Here is a 16,655-nt window from a genome sequence, read left to right on the forward strand (position 1 = left end):
AGAATTTACTAGACTCTGGCTCACAGAATAAGGTACATTTTAGGGTCAGCATCTGGAAATACCCCTTTCTCATATTTCTCTGTTACGTGTCTATGCCTTTAAAACAGAAGTTTTAAAACTTGTTGTATGGATCATGTTGGAAATAAAGACTATGAATCAAGTGGGACTTTGGGGAGTCCAAATGTCAGCAAAGATAATTCACTAGTAATGTCATTGTAAAATCTCCCTTAAATTAACTGGAAATGTGGCATTATTTGAAGTTATAAATGAGGAATTTCACAACGATTTTCTTCTCAGTGCTCATCAGGGATATTGGCCTGAATTTTTCTTTTTTTGTGTGTGTCTCTGTCAGGTTTTGGTATCAGGATGATGCTGGCTTCTTAGTGACCTACTAAGAAGTATCAAGCCCAGACATCTTCACAGATGGTATCATTCAAACCTCCAAGGAACAAATAATCTCAATGCTATTTCAACTGCTTCAATGCATAAAGAAGGAAGGTTTCCAAATATTATCTATGATGCCAGAAAGCAATTATTCCAAAATGTGATAAATGTAGTACAGAAAAAGAAAATTATTAATAAATGTAATTTGTGAATATCAATACAAAATCCTAAAGAAATTAGGTAATAGCATCTATTAGTAATTTCAAATAATAATATATACTAAGTTAAGGTCCTGTCAGGAATGAACTAATGGTTCAATATTAAGAAATATATTGATTTAATTTATATATTTAATAGGCTAAATGGTTAAAAAGTGAGTATTTTCATACATGGTGAAAAGGCATTTGATAAAATCCAATATTCATTCCCAAGGAAAGATAAACAATAGCAAGAACAAATTTCTTTAATTCCCTTTTCAGCAAGGTAAATTAATAATTCACCCAAGGTCACACAACCAGTAAAGATAGGTCCTAGATTTGAACCTAGATAGCTTTTTGTGCAGAGATAATTTAATCCCGTATACCTACAAACAAACACCAGTGCTTCTCAACCTTCTTCATGTTGTGGTACACATAGAAAATGAAAATATTTTTATGGCATGCTGGGAAATCAATCAAGGTCACGTGTAGAGGCAATTGCTTAAGGCCTGGGTTACCTGAGGACCAGCTTAGCTGTCCAAGGGGCTGAGGGGACCGATATTTTGGCACATTTTAACTTGCGGAGGTTTGCCTACTCTGTACTGCCACTAGAAGAAAGCACAGTCTACAGCTAGAATCAGAATAATATGGGAATTTGATATCTACTAAAGATGACATTTCAAATCATTTTATAAAAATAGATTATTTACTAATTTGGTATTGGAACAACTGGCTTTCCATTTGTGGAAAAATATAGCTGAGTGCCTACCAACTTCTAAACTGTCAGAAATAAATGAAAAAGAAAACAATAAAATATTCAAGGAAAATGTGAACATTTATACAATAATTTTGGTGTAATGAAGAATTTTTTAACTGACATACAAAAAAAGGCAGAACAGAAAATACTGAAATGTAGCTATATATCAAAGAAAATGAAGCTTTCTGTACAGCAAGAAATATTCTAAACAAAGTCGAAAGACAACTGGCAAATTACAAGAAAACATTTCAGGCAAAACACAAATTTTCTTAGCATTGAAGAATTCTTAAGAGTCAATAACAAAAGGACAAGCTACAAAAATAAAAAAATAGCAAAATATATAAATAGGCGTTTCATAGAAAAGTAAATGTAAATGGATTATAAACACATAAAATTATTCTCAACCTTATTTACAAAGATATGTATATTGAAACACAAAAAACACACAAAGGAGATACCATTTGTCACATATCAGATTATTAAAAAGGTTTAACAAGTTGGATAATACAATAATGTTAATAAGAATATGGGGAAAGGCATACTCCCATCCACTGTTAGTGAGAGTACAAATTGAGAAATATTACTCTGTGGAGGGCAATTTAGCAATATCCATTAAAGTTAAGCATACACAAAGTTTCTCATCCAGAAATTCCACTTTTAGGAATTTATCCCATGGACATGCATTCACAAAGCTGAAAAGATGTATATGCAAGATGTTGAAGTGTAATTTGTATCGAGAAAAAATAGGCAACCCAAATGTGTAACAATAGGAAAGACTACGTGGCTTTTTAAAATAAATAAGATAGATGTTACAAAAAGATATAGAACAAGTCACATTCCTCCCTTTGTGTAAAGCAAAGGAATTAGAAAAATAACTACTAAAATGTATAGACATATATAAATGTATAAAACTTCTGCAAGAATAAGTAGAAAACCCATGATAGAGGTAATTTTCAGATGTAACTGGCTTAGGATGTGGAGTAGAAAGGAACTCCTTGTTCTATTTGAAGTTTTTCCTCTCAGTATATGTGCTATCTCATTAACAAAACAAAACAACAACAACAACAAAAAGCAGGCAGCCAGGAGCAGTGGCTCATGCCTGTAATGCCAGCACTTTGAGAGGGCCAAGGCAGGAGGAACTGCTCGAGCCCAGGAGTTTGAGATCAGCCTGGGCAACAGAGCAAGACCCAGTCTCTACAAAAAATAAAAATGTAAGAATTAGCCAGACATGGTGGTGAGCCCCTGAAGTCTTAGCTACTTGGGAGGCTGAGGCAGGAGGATCACCTGAGTCCAGGGGTTCAAGACTGCTATGTGCTATGATTGCACCACTTGCACTCCAGCCTGTGCCATAGAGTGAGACCCTGTCTCTAAAATAAATAAAAATAGAAATAACAAATTGTTCTTCATGATAATGATCATTTTAGGAAGTCTTGTGTCCTATGGAAAAAAAAAAAACACATTTTGCTGGTCTTTTCCAGAAAGGCCATTCTCCAAATAAAACATACCATAAAATATCTCAATGACTCATTTATATCTTTGAGGTTGTAACCAAGTTATTACATTTCACATTCTACTTGACCAAAGATGCATTTGTTGAGGCCAGAAATAGACGCCAGAGTGTAAGACCAGACTTTTTACCCCAATCCTATTTCCTCTCAGATTTGTGTAATAAGCTTACTTTTGATATGAATCTCTGGAGGGAAAATTCTCCAGAAAAGATGCTGGAAGGTGGTTGAGAGTGCTAATGAGGATGAAAAGAAAGAAGTGAATAAAGTCTGTTTTTCAGTTGTCTTTATCTGACCCTTTTGCTCTTAGCCTACTGGGGCTCTGATTTCCAGGACCGAAGTAAAGATTAGCCATTGTACTGCAAATATTGGCCCATTGTTATTAGGGAGAATTGAAATTAAATTTGTAATGATAATGATGGAAGGGGGAAATGGTGAACTTTTAGGGATACATGTACACGGTGACATAACCATCTCTTACAGTGAGAGAAATACAAACTCAGAAGAGAGGGAAAATGGGCATTTCAATGAATTCAGTTTCTGGACAACTAAAATGTATTTTAAACCAGTTTTTCTCACAGTCAATGCCTTTTGCCATTAAAGCCTTTTTTTTCTTTTCCCTTCCCTTCCCTCCCTCCCTCCCTGCCTTCCTTCCTCTTTCTTCCCCTTTCTTTCTTTTCTTTCTTTCTTTCTTTCTTTCTTTCTTTCTTTCTTTCTTTCTTTCTTTCTTTCTTTCTTTCCTTCTTTCTTTCTTTCCTTCTTTCTTCTTTTCTTTCTCTGTCTCTCTCTTTCTTTTCAAAGGTGTAGAACAGAGCCAGACATTCAGTCAATAAAGGTTGCAATTTAGATCATGTATCCTTCTCCTAATCTTTCCCCAAGTGCAGGCAGTGCACTTATACCCTATGAATGTCTTCCCAGTTAAGTTTTCTTCTAGTAGAATGCCTCTTTTTAAAAAAACTTTAAATATTAGTTTATTCATTATTCTATTTCCTAACCATCTGATATTATTTAATTATACTTCTCTTGAACCACTCTCCACACTGAGGAGGTGGCTTGAGTGGGATCCTGGAATTTGGTGTGTGAAATCCATGTGTGCTCTCCCGTTGCTGCATAGCTTAGGTGGGGGCATGATCCAGATAGACCTGGTTCTCCTCTTGAGTGCTTCAGAAGGCAGCCTTAAGGTGGCCTCTCCTAGGAAGATGCATTGATAGGCAGACCAGAAGTGAAATTGTCCTGATAAAGGCACCCGTATTTCACTGGGAGCTGGCAGTTGGCAGGGTGTGTTGTTGTGGGGCAGGAAGGAGTTATTCCAGATAGAGGGGTTATTTGCAAGTTGTAGAGAGAAATGAGGGGCCTTAGCTTAGGGGCCATATGTGGAGTCAGTGGGGGCCACCATATGTCTTTGCTCCTGCAAAGAAAAGGTGATATGGCCATTATGGCCAAAAAGGCCCACTGTGATTTGACCCAGTATCCCAGTGATGATTTTGGAAAGGTTTCCTCTCTTAACAAAGACAATAGACATGATCAAGTAAGAGTTTACTAGTGCATGGAAGAAATTCCTCTACCTGTCACCAGTTGATGAACTGCATCTTGGTGTGCAGGTCACACATGTTGATTACAAAAAGGAAAGCAGCAAGACTATCTTGACCACTGAAAGGAATACCCTTGTTACTGCTGTGAGGCACTGAAGCAGATAAGAATCATCAGACACAATATAATTGCCGCAAAGGGGAGAGTTCCTTTAGTGTGCATAAGAACTTGGTGCAGAGAGGGTCTTGGAATTGGCCTTAGTGCGGGGCTAGAATCCCTGTGGGTACAAGGAATTTGCTAGTTTATTCAATGGTTCCAGAAGTTGCCAGTGTAACAGCAATTCCCATCAACTGCCCGGTAAGGAGGACTCAGGCAAAGGAGGCCTCTTGTTTATGAATACACCAACTCTATAGGATATTTATGCTGTATGATGTGTACATGTATGTGTGTGCATGTGTGACATATTTTGGATCATTGTTCACACATACCTAACAAGCTATCACATTAGGATGTAAAATGTTTAAAACAGCTTTCTTTTTCTTTTCTTTTCTTTTTTTTTTTTTTTTTTTGAGATATAGTCTCCCTTTGTTGTCTAGGCTGGAGTGCAGCAGTGCGATCATGGCTCACTGTAGCCTTGACCTCCCAAGCTCAAGCGATCCTCTTACTTCAGCCTCTCAAGTAGCTGAGACTACAGGGGCACGCCACTACACCTGGCTAATTTTTTTAACTTTTAGTAGAGACAAGGTCTCACTGTGTTGCCCAGGCTTGTCTTGAACTCCTAGGCTCAAGTGATCCTCCTCGGTCTCCCAAAGTTTTGGGATTACAGGCATGAGCCACCACGCCTGGCCCAAAACAGCTTTCTGATCACCAAATAATATAGTTGTTGACAATTGCATTGAATGTTATTGCATTCAAAGCAGTTGTTGACAACTTCCAATACAATGTTGGATAGAAGTGATGACAGCAGATATCTTTGTCCTATTCCTGCATTACTTATGAGAAAAGCATTAGTTCATCTTGGATTTTAGCTGTTTGCTGTCCTTTATCAGATTGAGTCAATTATTTTTGATTTCTAGTTTCTGAAATTTTCAGGAGGAATGGTGTTGAATTTTGTCAAATGTTTTTCTTTATTCTATTGAGATAATTTTTTTCTCTCTTATTTTGGTAGTGTGGTGAATTACATTGATTTTCTCATGTTGACCCAACTTTGAATTCCTAGAATAAACCTCACTTGATCATGGGATATTATCCTTGTTCTATTAATATGTTGTTGGATCCCATTGCCTGTGTTCATAAAAATATTGGTTTATAATTTTCCTTTTTTATTAGCACCATGATCTAACCAACTGAGCTAACCAGTTATATAATTTTCCTTTTTTTTTTTAAATGTGTTTTGAGGTTTTGGTATCAGGCCTTGTGAAACCAATGGGCATGTTTTTCCTTCTCCTTTCTTTTATGAAAGGTTTTATGTAAGATTGGTATACTTCCTTTCTTGAATATTTGGTAGGTCTCATCAGTGAAGCCATCTGAATCTGGAGGGGTTTTTTTTTTTGTGGAAAAGTTTTAAATTACATATTTTATTTCTTTAATAGAACTCTGCCTCCATTTCTAACTCTCTGTAATTGCATAAATCTAATTCATTTATCCAACATCTATCTTTTTTTTGGAACCATCATTTTCTATTCTATGGGCTTCTATATGAACTGTCAATCACTATAATTTGTATCCCAACCTCCTTAGAGAGTTCAGTTGAAATGTCAGCCAAACTGACATATCAGAGTATGACTTTTCTACTAGAACAGGTGGGAGAAGACTTTTTCATCTAGTTTAATGGTGTTGGAACATTCTGAGTTCAAGGCTGCCAGTGGCCATTTTCTCAAATCACAGGGAGGAAGATTGTGGTTAGAAGAGAAAAAGACCATGCAGGTAAACAAAGTCAAAAGTTGACTCTGGGAAAGGGAAAGATGCCTGATGATGTCATTAGAATCCTCAGGTCTATTGTCTAAAACTAGTTCTATTCCTAGACTTTTTGGTACACAAGCCAATAGATTCTTCTTAAAATTATGTTCTAGTTTAAGTTGGCTCAAGTTGGGTTTCTGACATTTGCAATGAAAAGAGACTTAACTAATACACTCTTTTTAAAGAATCTGCACTCTTGGATTTTCACATAATCCCACATATTGAGAAGAAGAGAGACTTCTTTCTCTCTTTGCACATTAGGTAGGAGGTGAAGAAGGAGATGTAGGTGTGTAGATGATGTTCAAGAAGTATTTCTTGAAGTAAAGTGAATTGAAAGAGTAACTCTAGTCTTATTTCAGAGATACAGTGGGGGAACGTGACATCTTGATATCCTTAAAATTATCACTTTGAATGTATTTTACCTTTATAATAGTAGAGTATATGGCAGCTAGATTTACTAGAAGCATTTGCTTATCAGAAATGTTATATATTTACTAGGTGACACTCTTATGTAAAAGAGCATCTCAAGTTCCAAAATACTCACTTAGAAATGACTCATTATTATTATTATTATTATTATTATTATTATTATTATTATTATACTTTAAGTTTTAGGGTACATGTGCACAATGTGCAGGTTAGTTACATATGTATACATGTGCCGTGCTGCTGTGCTGCACCCATTAACTCGTCATTTAGCATTAGGTATATCTCCTAATGCTATCCCTCCCTGCTCCCCCCACCCCACAACAGTCCCCAGAGTGTGATGTTCCCCTTCCTGTGTCCATGTGTTCTCATTGTTCAATTCCCACCTATGAGTGAGAACATGCAGTGTTTGGTTTTTTGTCCTTGTGATAGTTTACTGAGAATGATGATTTCCAATTTCATCCATGTCCCTACAAGGGACATGAACTCATCAATTTTTATGGCTGCATAGTATTCCATGGTGTATATGTGCCACATTTTCTTAATCCAGTCTATCATTGTTGGACATTTGGATTGGTTCCAAGTCTTTGCTATTGTGAATAGTGCCGCAATAAACATACGTGTGCATGTGTCTTTATAGCAGCATGATTTATAGTCCTTTGGGTATATACCCAGTAATGGGATGGCTGGGTCAAATGGTATTTCTAGTTCTAGATCCCTGAGGAATCGCCACACCGACTTCCACAATGGTTGAACTAGTTTACAGTCCCACCAACAGTGTAAAAGTGTTCCAATTTCTCCACATCCTCTCCAGCACCTGTTGTTTCCTCACTTTTTAATGATTGCCATTCTAACTGGTGTGAGATGGTATCTCATTGTGGTTTTGATTTGCATTTCTCTAATGGCCAGTGATGGTGAGCATTTTTTCATGTGTTTTTTGGCTGCATAAATGTCTTCTTTTGAGAAGTGTCTGTTCATGTCCTTCGCCCACTTTTTGATGGGGTTGTTTGTTTTTTTCTTGTAAATTTGTTTGAGTTCATTGTAGATTCCGGATATTAGCCCTTTGTCAGATGAGTAGGTTGCAAAAATTTTCTCCCATTTTGTAGGTTGCCTGTTCACTCTGATGGTAGTTTCTTTTGCTGTGCAGAAGCTCTTTAGTTTAATTAGATCCCATTTGTCAATTTTGGCTTTTGTTGCCATTGCTTTTGGTGTTTTGGACATGAAGTCCTTGCCCATGCCTATGTCCTGAATGGTAATGCCTAGGTTTTCTTCTAGGGTTTTTATGGTTTTAGGTCTAACATTTAAGTCTTTAATCCATCTTGAATTAATTTTTGTATAAGGTGTAAGGAAGGGATCCAGTTTCAGCTTTCTACATATGGCTAGCCAGTTTTCCCAGCACCATTTCTTAAATAGGGAATCCTTTCCCCATTGCTTGTTTTTCTCAGGTTTGTCAAAGATCAGATATTTGTAGATATGCAGTATTATTTCTGAGGACTCTGTTCTGTTCCATTGATCTATATCTCTGTTTTGGTACCAGTACCATGCTGTTTTGGTTACTGTAGCCTTGTAGTATAGTTTGAAGTCATGTAGCGTGATGCCTCCAGCTTTGTTCTTCTGGCTTAGGATTGACTTGGTGATGCGGGCTCTTTTTTGGTTCCATATGAACTTTAAAGTAGTTTTTTCCAATTCTGTGAAGAAAGTCATTGGTAGCTTGATGGGGATGGCATTGAATCTGTAAATTACCTTGGGCAGTATGGCCATTTTCATGATATTGATTCTTCCTACCCATGAACATGGAATGTTCTTCCATTTGTTTGTATCCTCTTTTATTTCACTGAGCAGTGGTTTGTAGTTCTCCTGAAAGGGGTCCTTCACATCCCTTGTAAGTTGGATTCCTAGGTATTTTATTCTCTTTGAAGCAATTGTGAATAGGAGTTCACTCATGATTTGGCTCTCTGTTTGTCTGTTGTTGGTGTATAAGAATGCTTATGATTTTTGTACATTGATTTTGTATCCTGAGACTTTGCTGAAGTTGCTTATCAGCTTAAGGAGATTTTGGGCTGAGACAATGGGGTTTTCTAGATAAACAGTCATGTCATCTGCAAACAGGGACAATTTGACTTCCTCTTTTCCTAATTGAATACCCTTTATTTCCTTCTCCTGCCTAATTGCCCTGGCCAGAACTTCCAACACTATGTTGAATAGGAGTGGTGAGAGAGGGCATCCCTGTCTTGTGCCAGTTTTCAAAGGGAATGCTTCCAGTTTTTGCCCATTCAGTATGATATTGGCTGTGGATTTGTCATAGATAGCTCTTATTATTTTGAGATACGTCCCATCAATACATAATTTATTGAGAGTTTTTAGCAGAAGGTTGTTGAATTTTGTCAAAGGCCTTTTCTGCATCTATTGAGGTAATCATGTGGTTTTTGTCTCTGGTTCTGTTTATACGGTGGATTACATTTATTGATTTGCATATATTGAACCAGCCTTGCATCCCAGGGATGAAGCCCACTTGATCATGGTGGATAAGCTTTTTGATGTGCTGCTGAATTCGGTTTGCCAGTATCTTACTGAGGATTTTTGCATCAATGTTCATCAAGGATATTGGTCTAAAATTCTCTTTTTTGGTTGTGTCTCTGCCAGGCTTTGGTATCAGGATGATGCTGGCCTCATAAAATGAGTTAGGGAGGATTCCCTCTTTTTCTATTGATTGGAATAGTTTCAGAAGGAATGGTACCTGTTCCTCCTTGTACCTCTGATAGAATTCGGCTGTGAATCCATCTGGTCCTGGACTCTTTTTGGTTGGTAAGCTATTGATTATTGCCACAATTTCAGCTCCTGTTATTGGTCTATTCAGAGATTCAACTTCTTCCTGGTTTAGTCTTGGGAGAGTATATGTGTCGAGGAATTTATCCGTTTCTTCTAGATTTTCTAGTTTATTTGCTTAGAGGTGTTTGTTGTATTCTCTGATGGTAGTTTGTATTTCTGTGGGATTGGTGGTGATATCCCCTTTATCATTTTTTATTGTGTCTATTTGATTCTTCTCTCTTTTTTTCTTTATTAGTCTTGCTAGCGGTCTATCAATTTTGTTGATCCTTTCAAAAAACCAGCTCCTGGATTCATTAATTTTTTGAAGGGTTTTTTTGTGTCTCTATTTCCTTCAGTTCTGCTCTGATTTTAGTTATTTCTTGCCTTCTGCTAGCTTTTGAATGTGTTTGGTCTTGCTTTTCTAGTTCTTTTAATTGTGATGTTAGGGTGTCAATTTTGGATCTTTCCTGCTTTCTCTTGTGGGCATTTATTGCTATAAATTTCCCTCTACACACTGCTTTGAATGCGTCCCAGAGATTCTGGTATGTTGTGTCTTTGTTCTCGTTGGTTTCAAAGAACATCTTTATTTCTGCCTTCATTTCGTTATGTACCCAGTAGTCATTCAGGAGCAGGTTGTTCAGTTTCCATGTAGTTGAGCGGTTTTGAGTGAGTTTCTTAATCCTGAGTTCTAGTTTGATTGCACTGTGGTCTGAGAGATAGTTTGTTATAATTTCTGTTCTTGTACATTTGCTGAGGAGAGCTTTACTTCCAACTATGTGGTCAGTTTTGGAATAGGTGCTATGTGGTGCTGAAAAAAATGTATATTCTATTGATTTGGGGTGGAGAGTTCTGTGGATGTCTATTAGGTCCACTTGGTGCAGAGCTGAGTTCAATTCCTGGGTATCTTTGTTGACTTTCTGTCTCGTTGATCTGTCTAGTGTTGACAGTGAGGTGTTAAAGTCTCCCATTATTAATGTGTGGGAGTCTAAATCTCTTTGTAGGTCACTCAGGACTTGCTTTATGAATCTGGGTGCTCCTGTATTGGGTGCATATATATTTAGGATAGTTAGCTCTTCTTGTTGAATTGATCCCTTTACCATTATGTAATGGCCTTCTTTGTCTCTTGATCTTTGTTGGTTTAAAGTCTGTTTTATCAGAGACTAGGATTGCAATCCCTGCCTTTTTTTGTTTTCCATTTGCTTGGTAGATCTTCCTCCATCCTTTTATTTTGAGCCTACGTGTGTCTCTGCACGTGAGATGGGTTTCCTGAATACGACACACTGATGTGTCTTGACTCTTTATCCAATTTGCCAGTCTGTGTCTTTTAATTGGAGCATTTAGTCCATTTACATTTACAGTTAATATTGTTATGTGTGAATTTGATCCTGTCATTATAATGTTAGCTGGTTATTTTGCTCGTTAGTTGATGCAGTTTCTTCCTAGTCTTGATGGTCTTTACATTTTGGCATGATTTTGCAGTGGCTGGTACTGGTTGTTCCTTTCCATGTTTAGCACTTCCTTCAGGAGCTCTTTTAGGGCAAGCCTGGTGGTGACAAAATCTCTCAGCATTTGCTTGTCTGGAAAGGATTTTATTTCTCCTTCACTTATGAAGCTTAGTTTGGCTGGATATGAAATTCTGGGTTGAAAATTCTTTTCTTTAAGAATGTTGAATATTGGCACCCACTCTCTTCTGGATTGTAGAGTTTCTGCTGAGAGATCTGCTGTTAGTCTGGTGGGCTTCCCTTTGAGGGTAACGCAACCTTTCTCTCTGGCTGCCCTTAACATTTTTTCCTTCATTTCAACTTTGGTGAATCTGACAATTATGTGTCTTGGAGTTGCTCTTCTCGAGGAGTATCTTTGTAGCGTTCTCTGTATTTCCTGAATTTGAATGTTGGCCTGCCTTGCTAGATTGGGGAAGTTCTCTTGGATAATATCCTGCAGAGTGTTTTCCAACTTGGTTCCATTCTCCCTGTCACTTTCAGGTACACCAATCAGATGTAGATTTGGTCTTTTCACATAGTTCCATATTTCTTGGAGGCTTTGTTCGTTTCTTTTTATTCTTTTTTCTCTAAACTTCCCTTCTCACTTCATTTCATTCATTTCATCTTCCATCGCTGATACCCTTTCTTCCAGTTGATTGCATCAGCTCCTGAGGCTTCGGCATTCTTCACGCAGTTCTCGAGCCTTGGTTTTCAGCTCCATCAGCTCCTTTAAGCACTTCTCTGTATTGGTTATTCTAGTTATACATTCTTCTAAATTTTTTTCAAAGTTTTCAACTTCTTTGCCTTTGGTTTGAATTTCCTCCCGTAGCTCAGAGTAATTTGATTGTCTGAAGCCTTCTTCTCTCAACTCGTCAAAGTCATTCTCCATCCAGCTTTGTTCCATTGCTGGTGAGGAACTGTGTTCCTTTGGAGGAGGAGAGGCGCTCTGCTTTTTAGAGTTTCCAGTTTTTCTGCTCTGTTTTTTCCCCATCTTTGTGGTTTTATCTACTTTTGGTCTTTGATGATGGTGATGTACAGATGGGTTTTTGGTGTGGATGTCCTTTCTGTTTGTTAGTTTTCCTTCTAACAGACAGGACCCTCAGCTGCAGGTCTGTTGGAGTACCAGGGCGTGTGAGGTGTCAGTTTGCCCCTGCTGTGGGGTGCCTCCCAGTTAGGCTGCTCAGGGGTCAGGGGTCAGGGACCCACTTGAGGAGGCAGTCTGCCTGTTCTCAGATCTCCAGCTGCGTGCTGGGAGAACCACTGCTCTCTTCAAAGCTGTCAGACAGGGACATTTAAGTCTGCAGAGGTTACTGCTGTCTTTTTGTTTGTCTGTGCCCTGCCCCCAGAGGTGGAGCCTACAGAGGCAGGCAGGCCTCCTTGAGCTGTGGTGGGCTCCACTGAGTTTGAGCTTCGGGGCTGCTTTGTTTACCTAAGCAAGCCTGCGCAATGGCAGGTGCCCCTCCCCCAGCCTCGCTGCCGCCTTGCAGTTTGATCTCAGACTGCTGTGCTAGCAATCAGCGAGACTCCGTGGGCGTAGGACCCGCGGAGCCACGTTCCTGGATATAATCTCCTGGTGCGCCATTTTTTAAGCCGGTCGGAAAAGCGCAGTATTCGGGTGGGAGTGACCCGATTTTCCAGGTGCCATCTGTCACCCCTTTCTTTGACTAGGAAAGGGAACTCCCTGACCCCTTGCGCTTCCCAAGTGAGGCAATGCCTCGCCCTGCTTCAGCTCGCGCATGGTGCGGGCACCCACTGACCTGCGCCCACTGTCTGGCACTCCCTAGTGAGATGAACCCGGTATGGTACCTCAAATGGAAATGCAGAAATCACCCGTCTTCTGCATCGCTCACCCTGGGAGCTGTAGAGGGAGCTGTTCCTATTCGGCCATCTTGGCTCCTCCCTTCATATGCACGTTTTTTTTTTGTTGTTTTTTTTTTTTTTTTGAGACGGAATCTTGTTGCTCTGTCACCCAGGCTGGAGTGCAGTGGTGCAATCTCGGCTCACTGCAACCTCTGTCTCCTGGGTTGAAGTGATTCTCATGCCTCAACCTCCTGAGTAGCTGGGATTACATAGATGCACACCACCATGCTTGGCTTATCTTTGTATTTTTAGTAGAGACAGGGTTTTGCCATGTTGGCCAGGCTGGTCTAGAACTACTGACCTCATGTGATCTGCCTGCCTCAGCCTCCCAAAGTGTTAGGATTACAGGTGTGAGCCACTGCGCCTGGCCTCCTTTGCCTTTTGTCATGAGTAGAAGCAGCCTGAAGCCCTCATCAGAAGCCCAGCAGATGCTGGCACCATGCTTCTTGTACAGCCTGCTGAACCGTGAGTGAAATAAGCCTCTTTTCCTTATAAATTATTCAGCCTCAGGTATTCCTTTATAAAGCAACACAAAACAGACTAAGACAATTAGTTTTTTGTGTAGACTTATGTTGTCAATTCTCTTGTGTATATATGTCGGAGTGGACTTGCTAGGTCATATATTTATGTTTTGAGGAACTGCCAAACTATTTTCCAAAGTGGTGGCACCATTTAACATTCTCACCAACAATACATGAAGGTTCCAGTTTTTCCATGTCCTTGACAACACTTGTTATTTTCTGTCTTTTTGATGCTAGCCACCCTGCTGGGTATGAAGTGGTATCTCATCGTGGTTTTGATTTGCATTTCCCTAATAACTAATGATGCTGAGCATCTTTTCATGTACTTATGGGCCATTTCAATTTTTCTTTGGAGAAATATCTATCTAAATCCTTTGCTCATTTTAAAATCAGGTTTTAAAAAATTATTATTAAGTTATAAGCACAGTAACTATTTAAATCATCACTTAAGCAGTCAATATTTCTGAAAAATGATATACTTTAAACAAAGTAGGATATTTATGCAGTTGTAATGTTGATGTTTTCAGGTCAGTCACAAGAGGCATAGGCATCACTTGTTTATTAATATAAAGGCAAAACCATTAACTAGCATTAGCATTTCATTATAAATACATTTAATCTCAAATCTCTTGTTAAAAGTTAACTGCTAACATTTTCAGTTTCACCAACTCTGAATGAAGTAAAATCAGATTGGCTAGATCCTTTATGAACATGTCTAGTGTCACTTGGCTGTTCCAGTCAGTGCTCCCAAATGTTAAATGCCTTTATGTTTCTGCCTTAGCATTAATTACTCTTATGAAATAAACTTATCAAGGCCTATAGTCTCTGACTCTCAAGAAAGGCCTTTGAGGGTATGACTTTCACTTTCAATGAGCGTCAGAAACCACTAGAGTAAAATATTAATTTACTCCAAATGCTGTAAGTTGCTTATTAATGATCTCCCATGGCAATGTTACAGGTTTAAGCCTCAATTCTCTAGAGGTGGCATTACGTTTTCTTATCAGAGCTTAGGTTTAGGAAAATCCATGATGATAGCAAACAATTTAAAAACTATATAATTGAAACAAATTCAGCTCTTGGTTTCCCATCCTCCCTTACTTCCCATCCTCCTCTGTGGTCATTTCAGAATTCCATTCTCTCTTGAACTCTTTCCTCACCAGCTTCCTTCACAATTCCATCAGGCAGCCTTTCCTTCTATCTCATTGTGAAACAGAGGCCATCAGATAGGAGCTCCCTCAACGTCCTCCCACCCCACAGAGCAAAACCACCTGTGCCTGCCTCCATTAATCACTGGTCCCTACAGTCCCTATGGAAGAGATGTTTCCCTACCCATGTGAGGCTCGTCCCTGTGCTTCCTGTCTCATCCCATCCAGCCTCCTCACAGACCCCATCCCATCAGCTCCCCCTACTCTCCTCTATTTGCAGCCTCACCTATTCTCCTGACCTCTTCCCACTAAACTTTAAAAATGCTCATTTGTCCTGTGTTATAAAAACAACAATTCCTCTTTGAGCTCCTCTGACTTCGTCTAATTGCAAACCTATGTGTTTCTTTCCTTCATGGGCCAATTTCTGTGTCCCTTTCTTCATCTCCCTTTCACTCCTTCAACTGGTTGTACTTCTATAATTTTTTGTTAATGTATATTGGAATAAAATTGAGAGACAACTAGGAGATATCGAGCAAAGAAGAAGGAAAGACATTCTACATGTTACTGAACCGAACTTGGGTCTGCCTGCTTGGCTCAGGAAGGCTAAACATCTACACCATGTTGTGCAGTGAAAGAAAGGAGTGAGTTTATTTGTGTGGCACCAAGCAAGGAGATTTGGCCAGCTCACACTTAAGACCCAGCCTCTCTGATGGCTTACAAGTAAAGGTTTTAAAGGCAGGGGTAAATTTTAGGAAAGCAGGAGTTACAGGCAAAATTACTAATCCTTACACGGAGGTAATACATTGGTTTGGCCCCAAAAGATGGGATGTCTTGAAGGAGGGGCTTAGAGATCATAGATGGATTTAAAGATTCTTTGATTTGCAATTGGTTATAGAAATAAAGCTTTGTGTAAAAACTTAGGGTCAACAGAAAGGAATGTTAAGGTCTGGCCTGTGGGTATGACTCTTTTTAGACTTCTCAGGAAGAAATTTAGGACAAAGAACAGCAGTCAGAGTTCAGTCTTCAGTTTCCCTTTATCTGAGGCCTATTGCCAGTGGACAGACAGCATTTTCCATTTGAGGGGGGGTTGGGTTTTTGATAAACAACTCAAGGACGTATGTTAAGATGTTATCTTTAGTTTTTATACAGAATCAAATATTTTGTGGCTGTATTATTTTTGGTTATTGTTTTGAGCTATTATTATCTTTTTGTTTATATCAGGCTGTTTATTTACTTCTTAAAGCTAGCTAGGCACCTGGAATGCCCCTTGAAGGAACTCAAGATTTTACTTTATTTTTAAAATTTACTTTATTTACTTTATTTTTTAAGCCTATGGGCCCCTAAGAGGGTTTGCTGCTCTGTTTCAGTCCTCCGTCTTTCATAATTTCTCAATCCTGAGAGGGTGTAGAGAGCACTCTGGCTACTTCTTGTTGAATTGGGGCAAAGATTGGGGAGTAGGATATGAGGAATGAAAGTTTCTAGCAAGGCGCTCAAGATATTTATGAGTTTCATGCATGGAAACTTGACTTGGAGCTGTTATTATATTAATTCCTTTAGTCACTGTTTCATTATATATATTTGGTTATAATATAAAGCATAAACAGAATTAGCAAGATTGATATGTCTAACTTCAGCAATCCTTTTCTTTTCTTTTCTTTTTTTTTTTTTACTTCAGCAATCCTTAAGACATGGACTGTATTTTATGAGGAATCTAAGAAAATAAGGAAGAAAACCAATACTTGGGGGCAGTTGGGGATATTGGGGATACTGGTTATAACCAAGTGGTTTGTTTTAACATTTTTTTAGATTAGTTTTTATTGTTTGCAGATTTATTTATATAAGCATAACATGTGACATTTATAACCATATATATATATGGTTTAGGTAAGATGTACTCTAAGACTATTTTATTATCTAATACAACCTGAGTCAATGAATTAACTTTTTTTTTTTTTTTTTCTGCTGGGCAGCTATTGCCAATGTAGTTTTATCAGTAAGAATTTTTTAAGTTAGGGAGAGGTTTTTAATTATATGTTCATGGGACACTACTCTTGACCAATGTAACAATGTGTGCTCAAAGAA

The 16,655-nt window shown here is 38.5% G+C and overlaps 1 annotated feature.

Annotated features, from left to right (window-relative positions):
- Positions 12,090-12,595: an enhancer, noted in NCBI's record as "NANOG-H3K27ac-H3K4me1 hESC enhancer chr1:176282688-176283193 (GRCh37/hg19 assembly coordinates)". NCBI's record gives its function as "activates a minimal SCP1, AML or CMV promoter by ChIP-STARR-seq in primed H9 embryonic stem cells {active_cell/tissue: H9 hESC(primed)}" and the evidence as "EXISTENCE:reporter gene assay evidence [ECO:0000049][PMID:30033119]".

The sequence above is a fragment of the Homo sapiens genome, chromosome 1, assembly GCF_000001405.40.
Source record: "Homo sapiens chromosome 1, GRCh38.p14 Primary Assembly".
Taxonomy (NCBI): domain Eukaryota; kingdom Metazoa; phylum Chordata; class Mammalia; order Primates; family Hominidae; genus Homo; species Homo sapiens.